At 42.9% G+C, this 26,665-nt stretch overlaps 1 protein-coding gene and 1 long non-coding RNA gene across 3 annotated transcripts in view, besides 1 other annotated feature; one reads left to right on the top strand and one right to left on the bottom strand.

Moving 5' to 3' along the window:
- Window positions 1-26,665, bottom strand: part of MCUB (mitochondrial calcium uniporter dominant negative subunit beta) — a 128,474-nt gene that overhangs the window by 69,271 nt on the left and 32,538 nt on the right. The window lies entirely within an intron of this gene.
- LOC124900755 (uncharacterized) lies at window positions 332-5,938 on the top strand. Its single transcript, XR_007058224.1, has 3 exons — window positions 332-373; window positions 1,279-1,382; window positions 5,856-5,938. It is a non-coding gene; the product is annotated as an uncharacterized LOC124900755 (long non-coding RNA).
- Window positions 2,126-2,627: an enhancer, noted in NCBI's record as "NANOG hESC enhancer chr4:110537978-110538479 (GRCh37/hg19 assembly coordinates)". NCBI's record gives its function as "activates a minimal SCP1, AML or CMV promoter by ChIP-STARR-seq in primed H9 embryonic stem cells {active_cell/tissue: H9 hESC(primed)}" and the evidence as "EXISTENCE:reporter gene assay evidence [ECO:0000049][PMID:30033119]".

Genomic DNA, 26,665 nt, shown 5'->3' with positions numbered 1-26,665 from the left:
GGCGTGAGCCACCACGCCCAGCCTTTGTTACTTTCAAGAAGAGCAACACATCATAGAAAGAGGTTTACTGGGCCAGGCATGGTGGCTCACACCTGTATTCCCAGCACTTGGGGAAGCCAAGGCGGGCAGATCACCTGAGGTCAGGAGTTCGACACCAGCCCAGACAACATGTGAAACCATGTCTCTACTAAAAATACAAAAAAAAATTAGCTGGGTATGGTGGCAGGCACCTATAATCCCAGCCACTCGGGAGGCTGAGGAGGCTGAGGCAGGAGAATCGCTTGAACCTGGGAGGCAGAAGTTGCAGTGAGCCAAGATCACACCATTGCACTCCAGCCTGGATGACAGAGCAAGACTCCATCTCAATAAATAGGTAGGTAGGTAGGTAGGTAGGTAGGTAGGTAGGTAGGTAGGTAGGCAGGCAGGTAGATAGGTAGGTAGGTAGGTAGGTTGGTAGGTAGAGAGAGAGAGAGAGAGAGAGAGAGAGAGAGAGAGAAGTTTAATGTTCAATAATGAACTTGAAACCAACTGGGATTTCTGGTGTGTACATTTACAGAGGGTAATAAATGCATCTTCTAAGAAGCTTATTGTTATGTTGGCAATTTTATTTATTGAATGTAAGTCATAAGCAAGAAAGATTCTATAGAAAAAGACCATTCTAAGCACATTTTAGACTATGTAACTATTTAAAGACTAATGGTATTTACTAGAAAATAATACCTTCAGTTAGGTCATATGATATTTTATTTCCCCTATAGGTTCTACTTAACTTTGGCCCACTGATTTTGTATCTTTGCTAATTATAATCTGTCACACCAGGCTGTTTTCTCACTTGCCATTTAGTTACGTTAAAGTATATCATATGAATTTAAGAAGAAGCATAATAAACAAAAAAGTCCTAACATGAATCTTAGCTTGGGTTTCCCCAAAAGCAGAGCCTAAGACAAGGATTTGGGTGTAGTAACTTCTCTGGGAGGTCATCTTATCATAAAGCAGGAGAAAGAGAATGGGAGGCATGATACAGGAAGGAAAAAGAGCTAATGTAAGAGCATTACTGAGGTGACTGCTAGAGACAACAGGGGACTCATTCTGCCAGTACCTATGAGTAGCACTTAGAATATCACTCACAATTGTCCATCTGAAAGACAAGAGGCTGAAACATTTATTCAACCATTTGAGGGTTGTCCTCAGCTCCCTGATATGGGAGCAGAAGGGAGATAGAGCGGGGAAGAAGGGGCATTAACTCCACAGTCCTCCAATGCTGCACTGGGTATACAGGCTCAGCAAACTCCCGAGTTCCTGTGCTGCTGAAGAAGGCATTGAGCAGAATACAGAAAGACTGGGTATAGCTTGGGTTTGAGATGAAACACCAGCAATGGAAGGTGAGTCTGAATTTGTAAGAAACTATCCACCAGTTACAAATGAAATCAGAGGTGGGCAAAAATGGATGCATGCAAGGACCAAAGGCATCTCCTACAAATACAAGAAGTTACATGTGAAAACAAGACTTCCCAGGCCTTTCCAAGAAATAAAGAGAAGCTACTCTTATTCTGATCTTCCCTAAATAGCTCTGAGAACATCTTTACCTAAAGTAGGTATAAAAAGAGATCAAAAGAGAAAATAAAATTTTTGCATATTTCTTATTGTGGGTTTAATAAATACCTAATTAGATTTTATCTATAAAGATGTTAACTGTAACATTATTTATAACAGCAAAAAATTGAAAACAATTCAATTGTCCAATAATAATAGACAGGTTAATTATGAATCTGTAACATATGATGATTATGCATTCATTACAATTGCTTTCAAGAAAATATTAATGATACAAGAAAAGATTCATGACAATGATACTTTGAAAAACTTTAGACCCCAAACTATACATAATGTTATTGCAATTGTGGTCTTCAAATTTCTTACATTTCAAAACCAGCACTTTGATAATTACACATTTTCACTTCTAAGCCACCTTTACATGAAATTTGGACTTCAATGCATCAGTTACCCAGCCATGGTCCTCCCTCCCACCCCCGACACACTAAATGTGGAAATGTGTGGGGAGCCTTATTTGGCTGTCACATTGACTGATGGGTGCTAAAAACGTGTAGTATACAAGGTCAGAGACACTAAACATTCTGCAATGCACTAAACAGAACTTACCAAAAAATTGCCCTATCAAAATGTGAAGAGTGCCACAAGTCAAACCAATGAGCTAAGGGAATAAACACTTAGAATGATCCTATAACAGCCAACAGGCCAATTGTGCAAGCATCTGTGCCAGAGTTGAGGCAAATTGGGTCTATTAATTTGCATAAATCATTATTATGTAAAACAGTGAAGATAGGTAAATCAAAATGCTGATAGTGTTACAAAGCAGAGAGATCACAACAATATGGTTAGGACAAAGAAGGACATCAACTAGAGGTGCAAAGAATGGTGACTAACATAACATAAAATTAGATATTCAGACTCTGGCCAACTGAATATGCATATATTCAGTTATAAATTTAAAAACTAAAATTAAAGCCCATGTTCAAATACCAGAAATCCATGAACACTAACTGTACCTAAAATATATAATTCGCAATTTTAATACATGTTCTTGCTTTTTTGGAAGAGGGCAAATCCATAGAAAGTATATTTTATAATTTTGTACTTTTGACTTTAGTACATGTTTTTAAAAACATATTATATACAAACATGCTTGTACACAGAGAAGATGGAAGGTAAGATACCAAAATATTAATATGGTTATTTCTGAATGCTGGAATTATCAGAGGTTTTCCTTTTCTTCTTTGCTGAAATTTCTTAAAAGAAAGACCTACGTATGCAACTCTCTCAAGAAAATCCAAGAGTCAGCAAGACAGGCTAAGTTAAACATGTTTAAAGTGTCAGGTCCAAGTAAAAGCAAAATAGAGCTGGGCTGCATGAAAGGGGAGGATGACAAGATTTAGAGCTATGTTTTCTTCTCACAGCTGGTTATTCTGTTGGGTAATAAATGGCTCACAACATGGACAATACAGCCCTATTGTGCATATTCCACTAGAGGTAGGGTACTGTGAAGAAATTCTCTGCAAGATTCATAGAAGTGGAAGGTACATTAGTCAGGACAGTATACATAATAAAGGCATAAAAGTTTGTCCAACTACTAAGATAAAGCAGTTAAAATAAAATGCAGAATTCTCCAGCAGGAGGTAGCTACAATGTAAGCAAAGCTGGTTCCTGGGAAAGGAAATAATTAAAAGGCAATCTAGAAATATGCACTAAAGGGGAAAAACAAGTAGCAAAATATTCATTTATTCACTCTGCAAATGTGTATTGAATGAGAACTAACTGCGAGGCACTATGGATCTATCACTCATCATTTCACATATATCCTTTTGGAACTTAAATTTTTGGCCTATGCCCTTTCTGTGGTGACTAGTTTCATAAGTTACTACTCACCATGTTGGAGGTACTTCCTTTTCTTGTCCAAAATGAACATGATGGTGCACAGGTGATGACACCTGTCACTCACTGATCGCCAGCACTGATGTAACTGACAGGTGTTGCTCAAGAGTCCCCTCTCCCTCAGCACTACATATAGTGACCCTTCTCAGATGTGCACTTGGAAGAAAAGAGACAATCTTTCACAGATAAAGGAAGACTCTTTTTGATTAGTGTACTTATCCTAAAACCATTTTCTTTAAATTAAATCTTTGTTTTAGCTTGCTGAGACCTAGCAAATAAATTCACATCTATGCCGGGCGCGGTGGCTCATGCCTGTAATCCCAGCACTTTGGGAGGCCGAGGCGGGCGGATCACAAGGTCAGGAGTTCGAGACCATCCTGGCTAATACGGTGAAACCCCATCTCTACTAAAAATACAAAAAAAATTAGCCGGGCGTAGGTGGTGCATGCCTGTAGTCCCAGCTACTTGGGAGACTGAGGCAGGAGAATGGCGTAAAACCCGGCAGACGGAGGTTGCAGTGAGCCGAGATCGCACCACTGCACTCCAGCCTGGGAGCTAGAGCGAGACTCCGTCTCAAAAAAAAAAAAAAAAAATTCACATCTATGATAATAATACTGTTGAGGATTTTATACAATGCCAGTATCTTCAAGTCTCTTCTTTTGGGTTGGCCATATTCCCCACAAGACTCTTCTCATCTGCTTGGAAGATATAATCCCGGGGGCTGACATCTGCAATATGGGTAAAGAAAGATGGCTCAACCTCACTAAGTTAACTTTCACCCAATTCTGTTTTCCACAGAGTACGCAAGCTCTCAACTGTGCCAGATATCCTCAAGTCTAAAGAAATAAAACTCTGAAGTTCCTTCCAGGGGGAAAAGAGGGCACTTGCCAGCTGTGCAGAGTAGAAAAGAGAGTTTGGAATCTAATAGTTTCTTGAGCAGATTTTCAACCAATTATCATGCTTCTAGCCTACAATTTACCCCGTATTTCTGAAAGCACTTGTTCTGTCAAATCCTAAGGTTAAACAGTATAAACTGGTTGATTTGTAGCTTTTCCCATTGCTGCCTAATGATAAGCTTTCTGTGCTGTGTATCAGTTGGGTTCATCCAGAGAAGCGACTACTATGAATGCGTATGAGTGACTATATAAAGATTTGTTACAAAGACTTGGACTTGTACAACTGTGGAAACTGGTTAGGCAGTCTCTATAAGGCGTTTTCTTCATGTCTGGTCTGATTCTAGAGCTGAGGTCCACAGGGCAGGACATCAGGAAAGGATGACGGATGAAAAGTGGGGAAATGCAAAAACAAGATGAAAACCACAAGCACGACCTTGAGTCCCTGGGGGTCTCAGTCAATCTAGGATGCTGTAACAGAAAACCACAGACTAAGTGGCTTAAACAACAGAAATTTATTTCTCACAGTTCTGGAGGCTTGGAAGTTCATTAGGGTGCCTGCATGTTGGGTTCTGGTGTGGGTCATCTTCCGAGTTGGCAAATGGCTATCTTATTCTATGTCCTCACATAGCGGAGTGCAGAAAGAGGAAGCAACTCTGCCCTGTTTCTTCTTGTAAAGACACTAATCCAACCATGAGAGCTCTATCCTCATGACCTAATTACTTCTCAAGGATCCCATCTCCAAAAGCCTCCATTGAGGCTTAAGGTTTCCACATATGAATTTATGGTGACACAAACATTCACTCAATCCTACAGCATGGGTTTATAGATGGAAAGAGACTCTGTATTTGGAGCTGTACTCAATGCTGATTCAAATGACACAATTCTGGACTTTGAGCTGACGCTGTAATGTTCTGGACTTTGGGCTGACAATTTTGGGGCACTGGGAGGGGGTTAATGTATTTCTGCATTATGAACCAGTATTATTTTGCATTGTGAACCACTGGGTAGACTGTTGCATGCAACTTTCAAATACAGTCCTCTAACATTAGGAATATCTGGTTGTGGTGGTGGATACATGAACCTACACATGATAAAAGTATACAGATGTAAACTCATGCACACAAGCACAAGTAAAACTGGGGCAATATAAATAAGATTGGTGGATTATATCAACTTCAATATCAGTCAATATCTGGGTTGTGATATTATACCACAGTTTTGCCAAATGTTACCTTTGGGGGAAAATGGAGAGTATATACCTGATTTCTCTGTATTATTTCTCACAAACTGCCTGTGAGTCTGCAGTTATCTCAATAAATACTTTAATTTTTTTAAGAATATGGCACTCAGTGATCCTGCCTCCTGGTATTCTGACCCTTATGTAAGTGTAATCTCTTCCTCTTGAATGTGGGCAGGACCCAGTGATGTACTTCTATTAAATGGTATGGAAAAAATGATGGGATGCGTCTTCCATGATTACATAACAAATGAATTACTTCTGTCTGCTAGATTCGCTCTGTTGTCTATCAGCTTGCATACTTTGATGAAACAAGCTTCCATGTTGAAGAGGACCAAGTGGAAGTGAATTGAGGGCAAGCACTGGACAACAGCCAGAGAGAAAGTCCAAAGCCCATTCCCCTATAAGTAACTGAATGCAGCCAACAACCAGTGAGTGGACCTGAAAGCTTTCCAACAGCCTTGTAATGACTACAGTTGCAGCCAACAACATGATTTCAGCCTGCGAGAGACCTCAGCATACCTGGATTCCCGGACTACAGAAACTGAGCTAATAAATGTGTGCCATTTTGAGCCACTAAGTTTTGGCACATTTTTTTGGGCACATTAGATAGCAATAGTAGATAATTAATAGAAGCTTGTTACTATTTGTCCCTCTACTTTCTACTCCAATATTTTGTTGCTATTGTCTTCTTTCCCAATCTCTTTATCCTTGTGGGCTGATATATTTTTTAATTCCTGTATTCTTTTTTTTCTTTTTTGAGATGGAGTCTGGTCCTGTTGCCCAGGCTGGAGTGCAGTGGTGTGATCTCGGCTCACTGCAAGCTCTGCCTCCCGGGTTCACACCATTCTCCTGCTTCAGCCTCGCGAGTAGCTGGGACTACAGACGCCCGCCACCACACCCAGCTAATTTTTTATATTTTTAGTAGAGACGGGATTTCACCGTGTTAGCCAGGATGGTCTTGATCTCCTGACCTTGTGATCCGCCCGCCTTGGCCTCCCAAAGTGCTGGGATTACAGGCGTGAGACACCGCACCCGGCCTAATTCCTGTATTCTTATTAGGATTTCAGGAAGGAAATTTATGTATTTGTCAAGCCTGCCATCTTTTACTGGAAGTCATCCCAGGTCTTCTGTTATGGATTAAATATTTGTATGTCCCCCTCTCCCCCATTTATATGTTACAGCCCTAACTCCCAATATACTGGTATCAGGAGATTGAGCCTTTGAAAGATAATTAGGTTTAGAAGAGCTCATGAGTATGGAGCACCCATGATAAGATTAGTGGCCCTTAAGAGGAGGAGGCTGGGTGTGGTGGCTCACACCTATAATCCTAGCACTTTGGGAGGCCGGGGCAGTCAGATCACCTGAGGTCAGGAGTTCAAGACCAGCCTGGCCAACATGGTGAAATCCCATATCTACTAAAATACAAAATTTAGCCGGGCATGATGGCAGGTGCCTGTAATCCCAGCTACTCAGGAGGCTGAGATGGGAGAATTGCTTGAACCTGGGAGGTGGTGGTTGCAGCGAGCCGGGATCACACCACTGCACTCCAGCCTGGGTGGCTGGCTGAGTGAGACGCTCTCAAAAAAAAAAAAAAAAAAAGAAAAGGAGGAGGAGGAAGAAATACCAGAGCTTTCTCTCTCCTCCTGTTGAAGAATGCAACAAGAAGGTGGCCATCTGCAAGCCAGGAAGAGAGCCCTCAATAGGAAAACAATCTTCCTGCACCTTGATGTTGGACTTTCCAGCCTCCGGGAATGTGAGAAATAAATGTCTCTTTATAAGCCACCCCATCTATATTTTGTTACAGCAGACTATGCAGACTAATACACCACAAGACTAACACAATTAATGGAGACAAAATTAACAAGCAGTCTGTTTTAAATGAGTTATTCTAAAATTTTCACACTACAAGTCTAGTCGAGGAGATCAAGAGAAATTCTGTTACAAAATGTTCTTTCATTTTAATCACTTGATCAATGCAGCATCATCATAGGGCTTTATTTTCTTCTTATAGTTTTAGCTAGCAGTGGAATTTAAAATGCCCCAGTTTGCCATCTGCTTCATTTTCACAGGCATGAACCATACCAATAAAAAGAAATGGACTTCAAATCATCAGCCTTTTTTTTAACAGAGAGAAAAGAAAAAGAGAGAAAAAGAAATACATGTCTAGATTGTGGCTTCTATTTGAACTACTGTGAGGTTTGGTCCTAATTTTGAAAAATCCTCACTTGTATGATATCTAAGGAATTGAATATCTCTATTATCTCCACTAAGTCACAATTTTTTTGTTGTTAAACAATAGGGAACATCAGAATTGTGTAAGTATTCTTTGTAGATGTGGGGAAATAAGATTTATCTGGATTTTGCTTAGCTTCTGTAAAAAGCCCTAGCCTCCCAAGACATGGAAATACATACACCATAAAGCTAGAGAATTTGCTTTCACTTCCCCTAGAAGCATTTTACTTTTCACATATCCTGAGGATTAGCTCTATAGCCATTTGTCTACTTAACTGCTCTAATCCAAAAGGATGATAAAACTTCTCTTATCTCTACAAGTGGGTCAAATGGTTACAGCCCAGAATAGGCCCCTGGGCTAAGTTCCAAAGTGCCAGGAAGACTCTCTCTGGGTATTTACAGAAGCCTAGACCTTGGAAACACCTCCTGGTAGTAACTTCCCCACTCTCTCCATGACAGAGATGTTTATCTAGCCCTTGGAAAGTCATATTTACATTCCAAATGGTTTATAAGAACTCAAGATTCTTCTTATCCTATCTCAAAGGAATAAAAGTTTTTCTCTCTCTTTTTAGAAGAGGAAGTTGGTGGCTACCTCTTTTCTGTATACAGAGAAAATACATTATTCTCTATCACTTTTCTATGGGGTGAAACCTGCCACCCACATACAAAATTTCCATTGATTCTCATCACAGGCCTATGGATCTGGGTACGGGAGAAGATACTCATCTTTCTGCAGTTACTATATTTTTACTGTACATTATATATGTTTCAGATACAGAAAAACTTCCCATAGTGTTGCAACTTCCTACAGTATTCAATATAGTAAGATACTGTATAGGTTTGTAGTGTAGGAACAATAGGCTATACAATATAGCCTAGGTTTGTAACAGGCTATGCCATCTAGGTTTGCATAAGTACACTCTGATGTTCGCATAATGATGAAATCGCCTAAGGATGCACTTCTCAGAATGTATCCCTGCCGTTAAAAGACGCGTGACTGTTATCTTTTTATGTACATCTCACATAACTTTACAACTATACTAATGTCATAGTCTTCACAAAACAGTAGGGAACAGCAGATCTAAGATCAAACAAGCAGGTTAGAAAGGGAACATCCACCAGGAAATGAACACTATCTCTCAATATATTTCATCATATTCGTCTTAGAGAAAAGCTTCCCCAGATGTGAGATGCTTATAGAATCATTAAATTAAAAGATATAATAGGAGAGGGGCAGAGAAAATGGCCAGATCCAAGCTGCCACGGATCCTCCCCAACCTCCAACAGGAACACCAAATTTAGCATCTACACAAAAAAGACACCTTTATAAGAACCAAAAATCAGGTACCAGTTCGGCCACATGGGGTAGAGCACTGAGCAGGCTCTTGGGGTCTGCCATTCCAGGCACTGGCTCTTAGACGGTATTTCTGGACCTACTCTAGGCCAGAGGCGAGCCCACTTACCTGAAGAGTAGAGTCTCAGGCCTGGTAGCATTCACCATGAGCTGACCGAAGACCCTTGGGCCTTAAGTGAACATTGGCAGTAGCCTGGCTGTACTCCCCATGGGCCTATGGTGGCAGTGGCCACAGGGAGAGGCTCCTCTGCTTGTGGAAAGGGGAGGGAAGATTAGGAGGAACTTTGTCTTGTGGTTTGAGTGCCAGCTTAGCTGCAGTAGAACAGAGAACCAGGCAGATTTCTAAGGTTTTCATCTCCAGTCCCTGGCACCTGGATGGCATCTCTGGACCTGCTTCGCCCTCGGGGAACTCACTGCACTGAAAGGAAGGACAGAAGCCTGGCTGGCCTTGCCACCTGCTGATTGTAGAGTTCTAAGGTCTTGAGTGAACATAGGCAGTAGCCAGGGAGTGGCTGCAGCGGGCACTGGGCAAGACTCAGTGCTGTGTTGGATTCAGGTCTGAGCCAGCACAGTCCCAGTGGTGGTGACCATAGGGGTGATTGTTTCAAGAGGCATCTGAACCAGAGCAGCTCCATCTTAAATAGGGACTGGGTAAAATAAGGCTGAGACCTGCTGGACTACATTCCCAGGAGGTTAGACATTCTAAGTCACAGAATGAGATAGGAGGTCGGCACAAGATATAGGTCATAAAGACTTTGCTGATAAAACTGGTTGCAGTAAAGAAGCCAGCTAAAACCCACCAAAACCAAGAGGGCTACAAGAGTGACCTCTGGTCATCCTCACTGCTACACTCCCATCAGCACCATGACAGTTTACAAATGCCATAGCAATGTCAGGAAGTCACCACATATGGTCTAAAAATGGGAGGCATGAATAATCTACCCCTTGTTTAGCATATCATCAAGAAATAACCATAAAAATGGGCAACCAGCAGCCCTAGGGGCTGCTCTGTCTATGGAGTAGCCACTCTTTATTCCTTTACTTTCTTAATAAACTTACTTTCACTTTGCACTGTGGACTCACCCTGAATTATTTCTTGCACAAGATCCAAGAACTCTCTTGTGGGGTCTGGATTGGGAGCCCTTCCCAGTAACAACTGTGTCACCCCACTCCCAGCTCCAGGCAGCTCAGCACAGAGAGAGAGAGAGAGATCCCATTTGTCTGGAGAAAGCAACAGAAGATAACACAGAGTCTCTGTCTGGTAATCCAGAGAATTCTGGAGTTTATCCAACACCAGCAAGGCAGTACCTCTACAAGTCTTGAAGAACCACAGCGTTACTAGGCTTAGGGTGCTCCCTAATGCAGATATTGCTTAGATCACAACACCCAAGTCCCTTTAAATATTTGGAAATCTTCCCAAAGATGGGTACAAACAAGCCCATACTGCAAAGACTACAATAAATACCTAACTCTTCAGGCCGGGTATGGTGGCTCATGCCTTTAATCCCAGAACTTTGGGAAGCCAAGGCAGGCAGACTGCTTGAGCCCAGGAGTTTGAGGTCAGCCTGGGCAACGTGGCAAAACCCTGTCTCTAAAAAAAAAACAATAATAATAATACAAAAAGTAGCTGGATGTGGTGGTGCATGCCTGTAGTCCCAGCTACTCAAGAGGTTGAGTGGGAGGATCAATTTAGTCAGGGAGGTCATGGCTGCAGTGAGCCATGACTGCACCACTGCACTCCAGCCTGGGCAACAGAATGAGACCCTGTCTCAAAACAAAACAAAACAAAACCTAACTTTTCAACGCCCAGACATCAATAAATATCTACAAATACCAAGACCATCCAGGAAAACATGACCTCACCAAACGAACTAAATAAGGCACCAGAGACAAATCCTGAAGAAACAGAGATACATGACCTTTCAGACAGGTATCTCAAAATAGCTGTTTTGAAGAAACTCAAAGAAATCTAAAATAACAAGGAAAAGGAATTCAGAATTCTATCAGATAAACTGAACAAAAAGATTGAAATGATTTTTAAAAATCAAGCAGAAATTCTGGAGTTGAAGAATACAATGGACATACTGAAGAATGCATCAGAATCTCTTACTAGCAGAATTGATCAAGCAGAGAATTAGTGAGCTTCAAGACAGGCTATTTGAAAAAACACAATCAGAGGAGATAAGAGAAAAGAGAATTTTAAAAAATGAAGCACACCTACAATATCTAGAGAAGGGCTTCAAAGGGTCATATCTAAGAGTTATTGGCCTTGAAGAGGAAGTAGAGAAAGAGACAGAGGTAGAAATTCAAAGGGATAAATAACAGAGAACTTCCCAAACCTAGGAAAAGGTAACAATATTCAAATACAAGAAAGTTACAAAACACCAAGCAGATTTAACCCAAAGAAGACTACCTCAAGGCATTTAATAATCAAATTCCCAAAGGTCAAGGATAAAGAAAAGGCTCCTAAAAGCAGCAAGAGAAAAGAAACAAATAACATACAATAGAGTTCCAATATGTCTAGCAGCAGACTTTTCAGTGGAACTCTTACAGGCCAGGAGAGAGTGGCATGACATATTTAAAGTGCTGAAGGAAAAAAAACTTTTAACCCTAGAATAGCATATCCAGTGAAAATATCCTTTAAACATGAAGGAGAAATAAAGACTTTCCCAGACAAACAAAAGTTGAAGGATTTCATCAACACCAGACCTGTTCTACAAGAAATGCTAAAGAGAGTTCTTAAATTTGAAAGAAAAGGAGGCCGGGCATGGTGGCTCACGCCTGTAATCCCAGCACTTTGGGAGGCCAAGGCAGGCGGATCACCTGGGGTCAGGAGTTTGAGAACAGCCTGGCCAACTTGGTGAAACCCTGTCTCTACTTAAAATACAAAAATTAGCCGGGCGTGGTGGCAAGCACCTGTAATCCCAGCTATTCAGGAAGCTGAGACAGGAGAATTGCTTGAACCCGAGAGGCAGAGGTTGCAGTGAGCCAAGATCGTGCCATTGCACTCCAGCCTGGGGGACAAGAGTGAGACTTTGAGAAGAAAAGAAAGAAAGAAAGAAAGAAAAGGATGTTAATGAGCAATAAGAAATCACCTGAAAGTACAAAACTCACCAGTAATAAGTACACAAAAATCAAAGAATATTATAACACTATAATTGTGTGGTGTAGACTATTCTTATCTTAGGCACAAAGACTAAAAGATGAACCAATAAAAAATAATAACTATGGACCAGGCGTGGTGGCTCATGCCTGTAATCTTAGCACTTTGGGAAGCTGAGGCAGGTGGATCACTCAAGGTCAGGAGTTGGAGACCAACCTGGCCAACATGGTGAAACCCCATCTCTACTAAAAATACAAAAATTAGCTGGGCGTGGTGGCAGGTGCCTGTAATCCCAGCTACTCAGGAGGCTGAGGCAGGAGAATTGCTTGAATCCAGGAGGCAGAGGTTGCAGTGAGCCGAGATCGCGCCATCGCACTCCAGCCTGGATGAAAAGAGTGAAATTCCATTTCACACACACAAAAAAGAACTATGATAACTTTTAAAGAGACAGTAAAATAAGATATAAATAGAAACAATAAGTTAAAAAGCAGGGGGATGACACTGAAGTATAGAGTTTTTATTAGTCTTCTTTATACTTGTTAGTTTGCTTGTTTATGCAATCAATGTTAAGTTGTCACCAGTTTAAAATAATGGGTTATAAGATAGTATTTGCAAGCCTCATGGTAAACTCAAATAAAAAAAATACACAAGAATGGATACACAAGAAACAAAAAGCAAGAAATTAAATCATACCACCTGAGAAAATCTACCTCCACTAAAAGGAAGACAGGAAGGAAAAAAAGAAGGAAGAGAAAACCACAAAACAACCACAAAACAAATAACAAAATGGCAGGAGTAGGTCCTTACTTATCAATAATAACATTGAATGTAAATGAACTAAACTCTTCAATCAGAAGACAGAGAGTGGCTAAATGGATTTAAACAAAACAAAAAAAACAGGCCAGGCACAGTGGCTCACACCTGTAATCCCAGCACTTTTGGGAGGCCAAAGCGGGTGGATCACGAGGTCAGGAGATCGAGACCATTCTGGCTAACATGGTGAAACCCCGTCTCTACTAAAAATACAAAATATTAGCTGGGCGTGGTGGCAGGTGCCTGTAGTCCCAGCTACTTAGTAGGTTGAGGGAAGAGAATGGCATGAACCCAGGAGGTGGAGCTTGCAGCGAGCAGAGATCGCACCACTGCACTCCAGCCTGGGCAACAGAGCGAGAGTCTGTCTCAAAAAACAAACAAACAAACAAACAAACAAACAAAAACCCAGGCCCAGTGATCTACTGCCTACAAGAAACATAATTCACAAAGAGACACATAGACTGAAAATAAAGGGATGAAAAAAGATATTCCATGCTAATGGAACCCCCCCAAAAAAGGAGTAGTTATATGGGACAAAATGGATTTCAAGACAAAAACTATAAGAGACAAGAAGGTCATTACCCTAGAACAGGGAATTATATATTCACCAAGGGAATATAACAATTATAAATACATATGCACCCAACACTGGATCATCCCAATATATAAAGCAAATATTATTAGAGCTAAAACAAGAGACAGACCCCAAAACAATAATAGCTGGAGACTTCAACGCCATACTTTCACCAATGGATAGATCATCCAGACAGAAAATCAATCAAGAAAGATTAGATTTAATCTGCACTATGGACCAAATGGATCTAATAGATATTTACAGAACATTTCATCCAACGGCTATAGAATACACAATCTTCTCTTCAGCACATGGATCATTCTCAAGGATAGATAATATGCTAGGTCACAAAACATGTCTTAAAACGTTCAGAAAACTGAAATAATATCAAGTATTTTCTCTGACCACAATGGAATAAAATTAGAAATCAATAGCAAGGGGAATTTTGGAAGCTATACAAACACGTGTACAATAAACAATATGCTCCTGAATGACCAGTGAGTCAGTGAAGAAATTAGTAAGGACACATACAACCTACCAAGATTGAACCATGAAGAAATTCAAAACTTAAACAGACCAATAACAAGTAACATGATTGAAGCTGTAATAGCCTCCCAGCCAAAGGAAAAAAAAAGCCCAAGACCCAATGGCTTCACTGCTGAATTATACCAAACATTTAAAGAAGAACTAATATCAATCCTACTCGAACTTGTGAAAAATAGAGGATGAGGGAATATTTTCAAACTTATTCTAGAAGGCTGGTATTACCCTGATACCAAAACCAGACAAAGACACATCAAAAAAAGAAATCTACAGGTCAATATCCCTCATGAATATTGATGCAAAAATCCTCAACAAAATGCTAGCAAACCAAATCTAGAACACATTGAAAAGGTCATTCACCATGACCAGGTGGGTTTTTATCCCAAGGAGGGAACCATGGTTTGACATATGCAAATCAATCAATGTGATAATGTGATACATCACATCACCAGAATGAAGAAAAACTGTATCATCATTTCAATGGATGCTGAAAAAGCACTTGATAAAATTCAACATCCTTTCATGATAAAAACTCTCGAAAAACTGGGTATAGAAGAAACTTACCTCAACGTAATAAAAGCCATATACAACAGACCCACAGTTAGTATCATACTGAATGACGAAAAACTGAAAGCCTTTCCTGGATCTGGAACACGACAAGGATGCCCACTTTCACCACTGTTATTTACCATAGTATTGATAGTCCTAACTAGAGCAATCAGACCAGAGAATGAAATAAAGGGCATCCAAACTGGAAAGGAAGAAGTTAAATTTATCCTTGTTTGCAGATGACATGATTTTATATCTGGAAAAGCCTACAGACTCCACCAAAAAACTATTTTTTTTTTTAAATTTTTTTAGTATTTATTGATCATTCTTGGGTGTTTCTCACAGAGGGGGATTTGGCAGGGTCACAGGACAATAGTGGAGAGAGGGTCAGCAGACACGTGAACAAAGGTCTCTGGTTTTCCTAGGCAGAGGTCCCTGCGGCCTTCCGCAGTGTTTGTGTCCCTGGGTACTTGAGATTAGGGAGTGGTGATGACTCTTAACGAGCATGCTGCCTTCAAGCATCTGTTTAACAAAGCACATCTTGCACCGCCCTTAATCCATTTAACCCTGAGTGGACACAGCACATGTTTCAGAGAGCACGGGGTTGGGGGTAAGGTTATAGATTAACAGCATCCCAAGGCAGAAGAATTTTTCTTAGTACAGAACAAAATGGAGTCTCCTATGTCTACTTCTTTCTACACAGACACAGTAACAATCTGATCTCTCTTTCTTTTCCCCACATTTCCCCCTTTTCTATTCAACAAAACCGCCATCGTCATCATGGCCCGTTCTCAATGAGCTGTTGGGTACACCTCCCAGACGGGGTGGCGGCCGGGCAGAGAGGCTCCTCACTTCCCAAACGTGGTGGCCGGGCAGAGGTGCCCCCCACCTCCCAGACGGGGAGGCTGCCGGGCGGGGGCGCCCCCCACCTCCCAGACGGGGCAGCTGCCGGGCGGAGGGGCTCCTCACTTCTCAGATGGGGCAGCCGGACAGAGGCGCTCCTCAGTTCCCAGACGGGGTGGTGGCCGGGCAGAGGCGCTCCTCAGTTCCCAGACGGGGTGGTGGCCGGGCAGAGGCGCTCCTCACCTCCCAGACAGGGTGGCGGCCAGGTAGAGACGCTCCTCACCTCCCAGACGATGGGCAGCCAGGCAGAGACACTCCTCACTTCCTAGACGGGGTGGCGGCCGGGCAGAGGCTGCAATCTTCAGCACTTTGGGAGGCCAAGGCAGGCAGCTGGGAGGTGGAGGTTGTAGAGAGCCTAGATCACGCCACTGCACTCCAGCCTGGGCAACATTGAGCACTGAGTGAGCGAGACTCTGTCTGCAATCCGGGCACCTCGGGAGGCCGAGGCAGGCAGATCACTCAAGGTCAGGAGCCGGAGACCAGCCCGGCCAACACAGCGAAACCCCATCTCCACCAAAAAATACAAAAACCAGTCAGGCGTGGCGGCGCGCGCCTGCAATCCCAGGCACTCGGCAGGCTGAGGCAGGAGAATCAGGCAGGGAGGTTGCAGTGAGCCGAGATCGTGTCAGTACAGTCCAGCCTCGGTAACAGAGGGAGACCGCGGAGAGCGGCAGACAGAGACTATGGAGAGGGAGATGGAGAGGGAGAGCCAAAAAACTATTAAACCTGATAAATTTCATAAAGTTGCAGAGTACAAAATCAACATACAAAAATCAGTAGCATTTGTCTATGCCAACAGTGAACAATCTGAAAAAATAAAAAAGTAATCCCATTTACAATAGCCACAGATAAAATATCTAGGAATTAACCAAAGGAGTGAAAGATTCCTGCAATGAAAACTATAAATCATAGATGCAAGAAGCGGACACCAAAAAAGGAAATATATTCCATGTTCATCGATTAGAAGAATCAATATTGTTAAAATGTCCATACTTACCAAAGCAATCTACAGATTCCATGCAATCCCTATCAAAATGCCAATGACATTCTTCACAGAAATAGAAAAAACAAATCCTAAAATTTATATGGAACCACAAAAGACCTAGATTAGCCAAAACTATCCTAAGCAAAAAGAACAAAACTGGAGAAATCACATTACCTGAGTTCAAATTATACTACAGAGCTATCATAACCAAAACAGCCTAGTACTGGCATAAAAAGACACATAGACCAATGGAACAGAATAGAGAACCCAGAAACAAATCCACACACAGTGAGCTCACTTTCAACAAAGGTGCCAAGAACACATGCTAGGGAAAAGACAGTTTCTTCAATAAATGGTGCCAGGGAAACTGGATATTTATATGCAGAAGAATGAAACTAAACCCCTATTTCTTGCTGTTTACAGAAGTCAAATAAAAATGGATTAAAGACTTAAATTTAAGACCTGAAACTACAAAACTACTACAAGAAAACATTGGGGAAACTCTCACTGGAGCAGGCAAAGATTTCTTGAGTAATATCCCACAAGCACAGGCAACCAAAGCAAAAATGGACAAATGGACTCACATCAAGTTAAAAATCTTCTGCACAGCAAAGAAAATAATCAACAAAGTGAAGAGTCAACCCACAGAGTGGCAGAAAATATCTGTAAACTACCCATCTGACAAGGGATTAATAACCAGAATATATTAAGGACTCAAACAACTCTATGAGAAAAAAATCAAATCATCAAATTAAAAAATGGGCAAAAGATCTGAATAGACATTTCTCAAAAAATACATACAAATGGCAAATGTCCATCAACATCAATCATCAGAGAAATGCAAATCAAAACTACAATGAGATATCATCTCAGCCTAGTTAAAATGGCTTATATTCAAAAGGCAATAACAAACGTTGGTGAAGATGTGGAGAGAGGGAGCCCTTATACATTGTTGGCAGGAATGTAAATTAATACAACCACTAAGGAGAACAGTTTGGAGGTTCCTCAGAAAACTAAAAATAAAGCTAGCATATGATCCAGCAACCCCACTGCTGGGTCTATACCCAAAAGAAAGGAAATAAGAATATCAAAGAGATATCTGCACTCCCATGTTTACTGCAGCACTGTTCACAATAGCCAAGATTTGGAAGCTACCTAAGTGTCCATCAACAGATGAATAAAGAAAGTGTGGTATATATACACAGCAGAACACTATTCAGCCATTAAAAAAAGAATGAGATCTCGTCATTTGCAACATGAATAGAAATGGAGATTATGTTAAGTGAAATAAGCCAGGCACAGACAGACAAACTTTGCATGTTATCATATTCGTGGGAGCTAAAACTTAAAACAATTGAACTCATGGAGAGAGAAAGTAGAAGGATGGTTACCAGAGGCTGGGAGGGGTAACAGGGGTAGGGAAGGGAGTGTGAATGGTTAACAGGTACCCCCCCAAAAAGTTAGAAAGAATAAGACCTAGTATTTGATAGCACAACAGGGTGACTATAGTAAATAATAATTTAAAAGAGTATAACTGGGTTGTTTATAACACAAAGAATCAATGCTTGAGGGGATGGATACCCCATTTACTCTGATGTGATTATTACACACTGCATGCCTGTATCAAAATATCTCATGTACCCCATAAATATATACACCTACTATTTACCCACAAAAATTGAGAGAATACTTTTTTTTAAAAAAAGATACAATAGGCCGGGTGCGGTAGCTCACGCCTGTAATCCCAACACTTTGGGAAGCCAAGACAGATGGATCACAAGGTCAAGAGATCAAGATCATCCTGACCAATATGGTGAAATCCTGTCTCCTCTAAAAATACAAAAATTAGCTGGGCTTGGTGGTGGGCACTTGTAGTCCTAGCCATTCGGGAGGCTATGGCAGGACAATCGCTTGAACCCAGGAGGCAGAGGTTGCAGTGAGCTGAGATTATGCCACTGTACTCCTGCCTGGTGACAGGACGAGACTTAGTCTCAGAAGGAAAAAAATATATATATATAATAAAAATACGTGTCAAAAACTCAAGTCGCCCCATAGAGAGCTGGAGGCCTCTCAATTCTAGCCCAACCTAACTAAATCTTGTTCTCAAAGCTAAGTTTAGGAACCAGGGTTTTTCTCAGTTCCCTGTCAGGCCTATTCCTACCACCAGCTGACAGAAACCCAGGAATATCCAATTACCTAAAGCAATGTTTCATTCCCAAAGAGCTAACCCCATTTAGGTCAGTGTGGGCTCCTCAGAGCATCAGATGGGTGACTGTGTTGGACTGATCCTTAAAATGGCTTTTAACCTATGGTCTACCATTTTACTGTAATAAAATAGAAAAGCAGAAAGTGGAAAGTTAGCATACTCATGGCATCTGAATGAGAAATGGGATTTTTACAGGCATTAAGGACTAGTAAGAGAAGGAAAATCTCCATCCTAGGCTCATAGACTCTAGGTTACCTACTTCTATCTGTTGGGGAATCATTTTTCAGATGAGGGCTACATGGCCCAAAAAGAAACGAAGTACAGGTAGTGGCAGAACTAAAACTAGAAGCACAGGTAGTGGCAGAACTAAAACAGGTAGTACAGGTAGTGGCAGAACTAAAACTAGAAGCAAGATCTCTTGAATCACATTAAAGTGCCATTGCCATTTAATCATTAAAAACCTATATTTCCAACAGTGGAAATGGGTTGTTCATCACAGCCTAGATAATACATCCCTTAAATCCTGGTCCAACAAACAGTTTTCTGATTGATTTGCATCTCCAAGATACCTCAATATTAGGAAAGCACTATCTTGCGTACAACATACAACACTTCAGACTCTAAATATCAACATGGGGTGCGGTGGCTCATGCCTGTAATCCCAGCACTTTGAGAGGCTGAGGTGAGCGGACTGCTTGAGGTCAGGAGTCTGAGACCAGCCTGACCAACATGGTGAAACCCTATCTCTACTAAAAATACAGAAAATTAGCTGGCTATGGTGGTAGGCGCCTGTAATCCCAGCTACTTGGGAGGCTGAGGCAGGAGAATTGCTTGAACCTGGGAGGTAGAGGTTGCAGTGAGCCAAGATTGTGCCACTGTTCCAGCCTGGGCGACAGAGCGAGATTCTGTCTTAAAAAAATAAATAAATAAATATTAACATGATTTTAATAAAAGGTATACGTTTGGCCAGCACAGCCTAGTTTTCTCTAGGGCCAGACTACCCAAGGGAACTTACAAAACCAAGATTCTGAATCCTCAAGATCACTCACAGGATCCAGCAAAAAACATTCAAAAAGCAGAGCTACCTCCAAGGACCTTCTAGACAGACTTCCCTCAACACTACTGAAGTATAAAGGCCTCAGATACTCTAAAACCACATACTTTGGAGCTGAAAAAAATTTAGATTCAGAAAAAAGAGTAAAGGTTGCAAAGTTGTTTCCTGTCGTTTCGGTGGTCTTCATAACTCCCAAGATGTTTTCAATCGCATAAGACACACAGCCAAAGGAGGCTGAAGAGGAGGATCAAACAAAGCTGGGAGGGGTGGGATGGGGCTTTAAATGGAAACTATGCAAAACAAGTTTCACCTGATTTGATATTCAAACCTAAGCAAAGCTCAACACTTGATTAAGTAAGGCTTCAACTTAACCTGTTGAAGGTTAACACTGTAACCCACGATATTCAATTCTGTTCTTGGACGACAGAGCTTAATTAAATATCCATTGTTGAGAAGACCTTCTCTACTTTCACCTTTTTTCCCCAGATGAAGTGAAAGGTTTTTAAAAATATATTAAATGTCAAGGACATTCAACACTTTTTCATCCAAAAGTCAAAATTTAAGCATCCTTCATAAATGATTAATGCCTAGCCTATTTATTCTGACAACATTTGGCTGATAGAGAATAGCTAATTTACTGTATTCAGAACAGCTGAATATATATTGGTCTATGGATATATTTTCACAATTATTTCTTTGTTACCAATTTAGAGAAAATAAAATTAACCATTTGACTATGGAAAGAACAACTGCATATATGTATTTTAAAAGGAAACGAACTCAATAAGAAGTCTCAGCTTGATGTTCTCGGACAAATCCTTTGTAACCAGGCCTCACCAGCAATAAGAAAAATCAAGGGCCCAGATCATAATTGAAAGAGAATTTGGGAAGCTTTGAAATCCAGCTCTCCCTCTCCCTCTCCCTCTCCCGTCTCCCCACCGTCTCCCTCTCCCTCTGTTTCCACGGTCTCCCTCTCATGCCCAGCCGAAGCTGGACTGTACTGCTGCCATCTCGGCTCACTGCAACCTCCCTGCCTGATTCTCCTGCCTCAGCCTGCCGAGTGCCTGCGATTGCAGGCACGCGCTGCCACGCCTGACTGGTTTTCGTATTTTTTTTGGTGGAGACGGGGTTTCGCTGTGTTGGCCTGGCCGGTCTTCAGCTCCTAACCGCGAGTGATCCGCCAGCCTCGGCCTCCCAAGGTGCCGGGATTGCAGACGGAGTCTCGTTCACTCAGTGCTCAATGGTGCCCCGGCTGGAGTGCAGTGGCATGATCTCGGCTCGCTACAACCTCCACCTCCCAGCCGCCTGCCTTGGCCTCCCAAAGTGCCGAGATTGCATCCTCTGCCCGGCCGCCACCCCGTCTGGGAAGTGAGGAGCGTCTCTGCCTGGCTGCCCATCGTCTGGGATGTGAGGAGCCCCTCTGCCTGGCTGCCCAGTCTGGGAAGTGAGGAGCGTCTCCGTCCGGCCGCCATCCCATCTAGGAAGTGAGGAGCACCTCTTCCCGGCCGCCATCCCATCTAGGAAGTGAAGAGCGTCTCTGCCCGGCCGCCCATCGTCTGAGATGTGGGGAGCGCCTCTGCCCCGCCGCCCCATCTGGGATGTGAGGAGCGCCTCTGCCCGGCCGCGACCCCGTCTGGGAGGTGAGGAGCGTCTCTGCCCAGCCACCCCGTCTGAGAAGTGAGGAGATCCTCTGCCTGGCAACCGCCCCGTCTGAGAAGTGAGGAGCCCCTCTGCCCAGCAGCTGCCCCGTCTGAGAAGTGAGGAGCCTCTCCGCCCGGCAGCCACCCCGTCCGGGAGGGAGGTGGGGGGGTCAGCCCCCCGCCCGGCCAGCCGCCCCGTCCAGGAGGGAGGTGGGGGGTCAGCCCCCCGCCCGGCCAGCCGCCCGGTCTGGGAGGGAGGTGGGGGAGTCAGCCCCCCGCCCGGCCAGCTGCCCCATCCGGGAGGTGAGGGGCGCCTCTGCCCGGCCGCCCCTACTGGGAAGTGAGGAGCCCCTCTGCCCGGCCAGCCGCCCCGTCCGGGAGGGAGGTGGGGGGGTCAGCCCCCCGCCCGGCCAGCCGCCCCGTCCGGGAGGGAGGTGGGGGGGTCAGCCCCCCGCCCGGCCAGCCGCCCCGTCCGGGAGGGAGGTGGGGGGGTCAGCCCCCCGCCCGGCCAGCCGCCCCGTCCGGGAGGGAGGTGGGGGGGTCAGCCCCCCGCCCGGCCAGCCGCCCCGTCTGGGAGGTGAGGGGCACCTCTGCCCGGCCGCCCCTACTGGGAAGTGAGGAGCCCCTCTGCCCGGCCACCACCCTGTCTGGGAGGTGTGCCCAACAGCTCATTGAGAACGGGCCAGGATGACAATCGCAGCTTTGTGGAATAGAAAGGGGGGAAAGGTGGGGAAAAGATTGAGAAATCGGATGGTTGCCGTGTCTGTGTAGAAAGAAGTAGACATGGGAGACTTTTCATTTTGTTCTGTACTAAGAAAAATTCTTCTGCCTTGGGATCCTGTTGATCTGTGACCTTACCCCCAACCCTGTGCTCTCTGAAACATGTGCTGTGTCCACTCAGGGTTAAATGGATTAAGGGCGGTGCAAGATGTGCTTTGTTAAACAGACGCTTGAAGGCAGCATGCTTGTTAAGAGTCGTCACCACTCCCTAATCTCAAGTACCCAGGGACACAAACACTGCGGAAGGCCGCAGGGTCCTCTGCCTAGGAAAACCAGAGACCTTTGTTCACTTGTTTATCTGCTGACCTTCCCTCCACTATTGTCCTATGACCCTGCCAAATCCCCCTCTGTGAGAAACACCCAAGAATGATCAATAAAAAATAAATTAAAAAAAAAAAAAAGAAGTTTAAGAAGACCTAAATAAAGACATCTGTGTCTTTTCCTAAGGCTTTGTGAGGCACCGAGTCAAGGGAAGAGAGGAAGTGCTAAATCTCACCAGACACTAGAGAGTGATATGGGGATGCACCGTCATGGTCCTCCCTGCTTTGCCATGCTGATGATAATGAGAAGGGACTGTGGATGGCAACTGCAGTTCCACATTGAGATCATCAACTCCTAAGGGCTGGCAAGAAGGGCACTGTGTCTACTGTCCCTATTAAAGGTCTAACCTGGTCTGGTGTGTCTCATGGGCTCCCCCAGCTAATGGGATTCTTGAGACTTGGACCTTGCTGCCTCCTCTTCTCCCTGAGAAAGAATTTCAGTGAGGTTTGCCCCCTGTGTCCAAGGACCCTGTTTTGGACTGACAATGGCCATAGGAAGCCCCAGTCTGCTCTGATATATGACAGAGCCAGAAATCCCAGTTCCCATCCCCAGCCTTATTTTCTTCTCACCGGGGGATCTGGGAGGCAGTTGGGCTCCATCTTCCTGAAGATTCTGGGCACCTCTGCACATATGGATGGACTATTGGGCCCTGCTCTGTCAACCTAGAATCAAGGTCGGCTGGGGTTTGGGATGCCTCAGTTTCCTCTTTGGCAAGCACCTAGATGGAAAGGCAATATTTGGCTGATTCTCCTGGGAGCAATGTAGTGCAGCCCCAGGTGAAGGATAAGAGGCTGGCCTTACTGGTAGGTGGGGCTGGGGCTAGGCATGCTAATGATTAGGTGGTGACCCTAAGGACTAGTGGAAAACAGAAGTTTACAGAAGTTCATCTTTTCTCTACAATTTCCTCACTAGAACTCGTCTCCCCAAGGGCCAGGTGACAAACAGGGCTCCCTCTGATATTACCCCCACCCCTACTCTTATCTCAATTATTGGTGATTTTATCATTGGTCAAGATGACCCTACAATCTCCTCCATTCTAACCTCAAATAAACCTTTTCTGCTCTTCTCCTCAGCTATTCACTCCCACAGTCATACCAAAACAATGCTATTCTATGGAACTTCTGTGATGATGGAAATCTCTCTCTATGCTGTCCAATATAGTAGCCACTAGCCACATATAGTTGTGGTGCACCTGAAATGTGCCTAGTGCAACTGAGGAGTTGAATTTTTTATTTTATTTAATTTAAATTTAAATAATCATTGGACAATGATGCTCTAGACCTCATCATCACCATAATTGTACTATTGCTCAAATTGCTTTTTCTAATTTTCCATTCTTTGATTACTTTCTTCTTTCAGTTCACCTTTTCAATAACCCCAATATTTCTTCAGATATGATAAGGTCTTCCAGTTTATTGACGCTATCATTTTTTTACAGCCACCACCCCTGACATGCTCTTGCATGTTTCTTTACCTAGTGCAGATTCCGTGGTTAATTATCATCTCTCCCCTGCACTACCTCACTCCCTTGGCCCACTTTCTTTCTGCAAACATGTATGAGATGAAGGCAACCGTCTCCCTGTTCCATGCCTACAGAATAAGGGAACATGGCTGGGACAAAACCAACAACCATGAGGCATGGTCTTCATTTATATTCATGACCACATATATCAACTGGACTAATTTCCCAATGAATTTATTTAGTATGTTTGCATTTATATTTTCCGAGTTGAATAATTTACACCACCTCCTCTCCAAATGTTTGTTATTTCGGTTGGAATAAATGGTGTCAGAAATGAAACCTGAAAAAGAACACTATTGGAAGGGATTGGCAATTCTTGGAACTGGTGTGCAGGACCCACTAGAGCCCTTTGAGCTCTCTGCTTCCAAGGCTTGCCTGTTCTTCCCTGGTGAGTCTTCTCTCTGGCTGAGCCTCTCTCTTTTTGGTATTTGATATTATTTGGGATCTGGTTTGGATCACGCAACCTTAATAAAGACCATACATCTCTCCTTAAAAAAAAAAAAAGAAAGAGAATTTTTCCGGAGGCCTCTCCCTTCCATCCTCACTTCAGGCTGAGCTACTCTGTCTTCTTGAGGCTTTCTCTCCAGGGATTATTGAGGGGGCTGCCTTTCCCTCCTTTTTTTTTTGAGACAAGTCTCATTCTGTCACCCAGGCTGGAGTGCAGTGGCGCAATCTTGGCTCACTGCAACCTCCGCCTCCCGGGTTCAAGTGATTCTTCTGCCTCAGCCTCCTGAGTAGCTGGGACTACAACAGGCATGCGCCACCACACCCGGCTAACTTTTGTATTTTTAGTAGAGACGGGGTTTCACCATATTGGCCAGGCTGGTCCTCCCTGTTTTTAATACCAGTGTCTAGTAATATGACAGTGGGCTTCATTGTGCCCTTCACAGTTCTCTTGAAAAGCTTTGGAAATCTGAGGCTAGCAGGCCACTAGGCCTATTATGACATTCCTGAATAACATATGCAAACTGGACCCCACTGTAACCCTCACAACAAAACTACACTTTTTGACAGCCTTCACAGAATCTATGAAGCAATTTTTTAGACAGATATTTACTGAATGCCCAATATCCACGTAGACTGTATTCCATGCTAAATACTCTGTTTTAGAAATTCTCAAGGATCTGCTGAATTTGAAAGAGAAGTGACAGGCTAGTAGGCAGCAGGCATGGAAGCATTGAGCTATACCAGAACTAAGGCTATACCTCTTCCCACAGGCTTTTCTTCTCTAGTGAGACTGAGTAACCCTTTGCCAATAATTCATGTCAAGGAACAAGTCAAGGTGACAAGTACTTCTAGAGTGCTAACATTACCCTTGGACTGACTGGACTATATAGCATCCGAAAGGCACAGAGGCAGCACTAGGAAAATTTACACAGACTTAAATTCTGCCCATTGACTTCATATCTATGATATGATGCCTGGGAGAAATTGAGCTAAATGATCTGGAAAAAATGTATTATATTTTATTACTAAAGATGATGAAATAAAGTAAAAATCAAAATAGCTGAAACTTCTAATGCGACATAATTAGCTTGCTTTTATGACTAGATCCAAAGTGGGAGATGTAAGGGTATGTTGCATTGGCAATGTTAAGATAATCAGGTTTTCTTAATTATAGAGCTGCTTTTCAAGTAAGTCTTTTCCTTCTTTCTGAGTAAGAATATTCACTTGGTGTTCTAAACAAATTTCACTAAAAATATTCATTTCATATTTTGGGCACTTTACCTGTGGATCATCATACATGCAGATACAGAAAGGAATGGACACACTTTTCAGAAGGCCCAGCGTGATCTCAGATAATCATCCAGTCTCTGAATCACTCTGTCTTAGACATGCTTGAAAAAGGCAACAGGGCTGCATCAAGTGGGGCTTAAAGTTCCAGTAGGTGCTTTCCCCAACTCCATGGGAAAACTGGAAATAACTGACATTGGGTATCTTTTCCCAAGGTTACTTTACAACCAAAGACTGGACTATACTGTTTCTTATTATCCGAGTGATTCCCTATAGACTCATCCAATCTTTAGGGAGAACTCTTTTTTAAATTACGTAAAAAGGTATTGATTGACACGAAATAAGATTCCTGATATACCTTTGGGTATCATCCTAACTGCCCCTTTTCACTACATCCCATCCCTGCTAACACACGAGAAAGATGCACGCATTTATATTTGTACACACACAGAGCCAACTTGCTCTAGCCTTGAAGTGAGCATTGGAATTTTCAGCACTGAAAGAAGCATTTGTCTGTTATCTAGAAATAACTGAAGAAAAAATTAAATCATGAGTGGTGTCTCCCAAGTAAATGCGTAAAAAGGAATTTATAACAGAACATACCTTAAACATGTTTTTTTCTGAGTCTGTTACTCTCAAAATATCTGTGTGTATATTAGAGCTTTCAAATTCTCTCCATGGCTAAGAGAAAGCATGAGAGAACTTGCTGGTGTGATGGAAATGTTTTATATCTTTATAGAAGTATGAGTTAATAGGTCTGTGTATT

This window comes from Homo sapiens, chromosome 4 (genome assembly GCF_000001405.40).
Source record: "Homo sapiens chromosome 4, GRCh38.p14 Primary Assembly".
NCBI lineage: Eukaryota > Metazoa > Chordata > Mammalia > Primates > Hominidae > Homo > Homo sapiens.
This window is presented reverse-complemented; position numbering and strand designations above follow the sequence as displayed.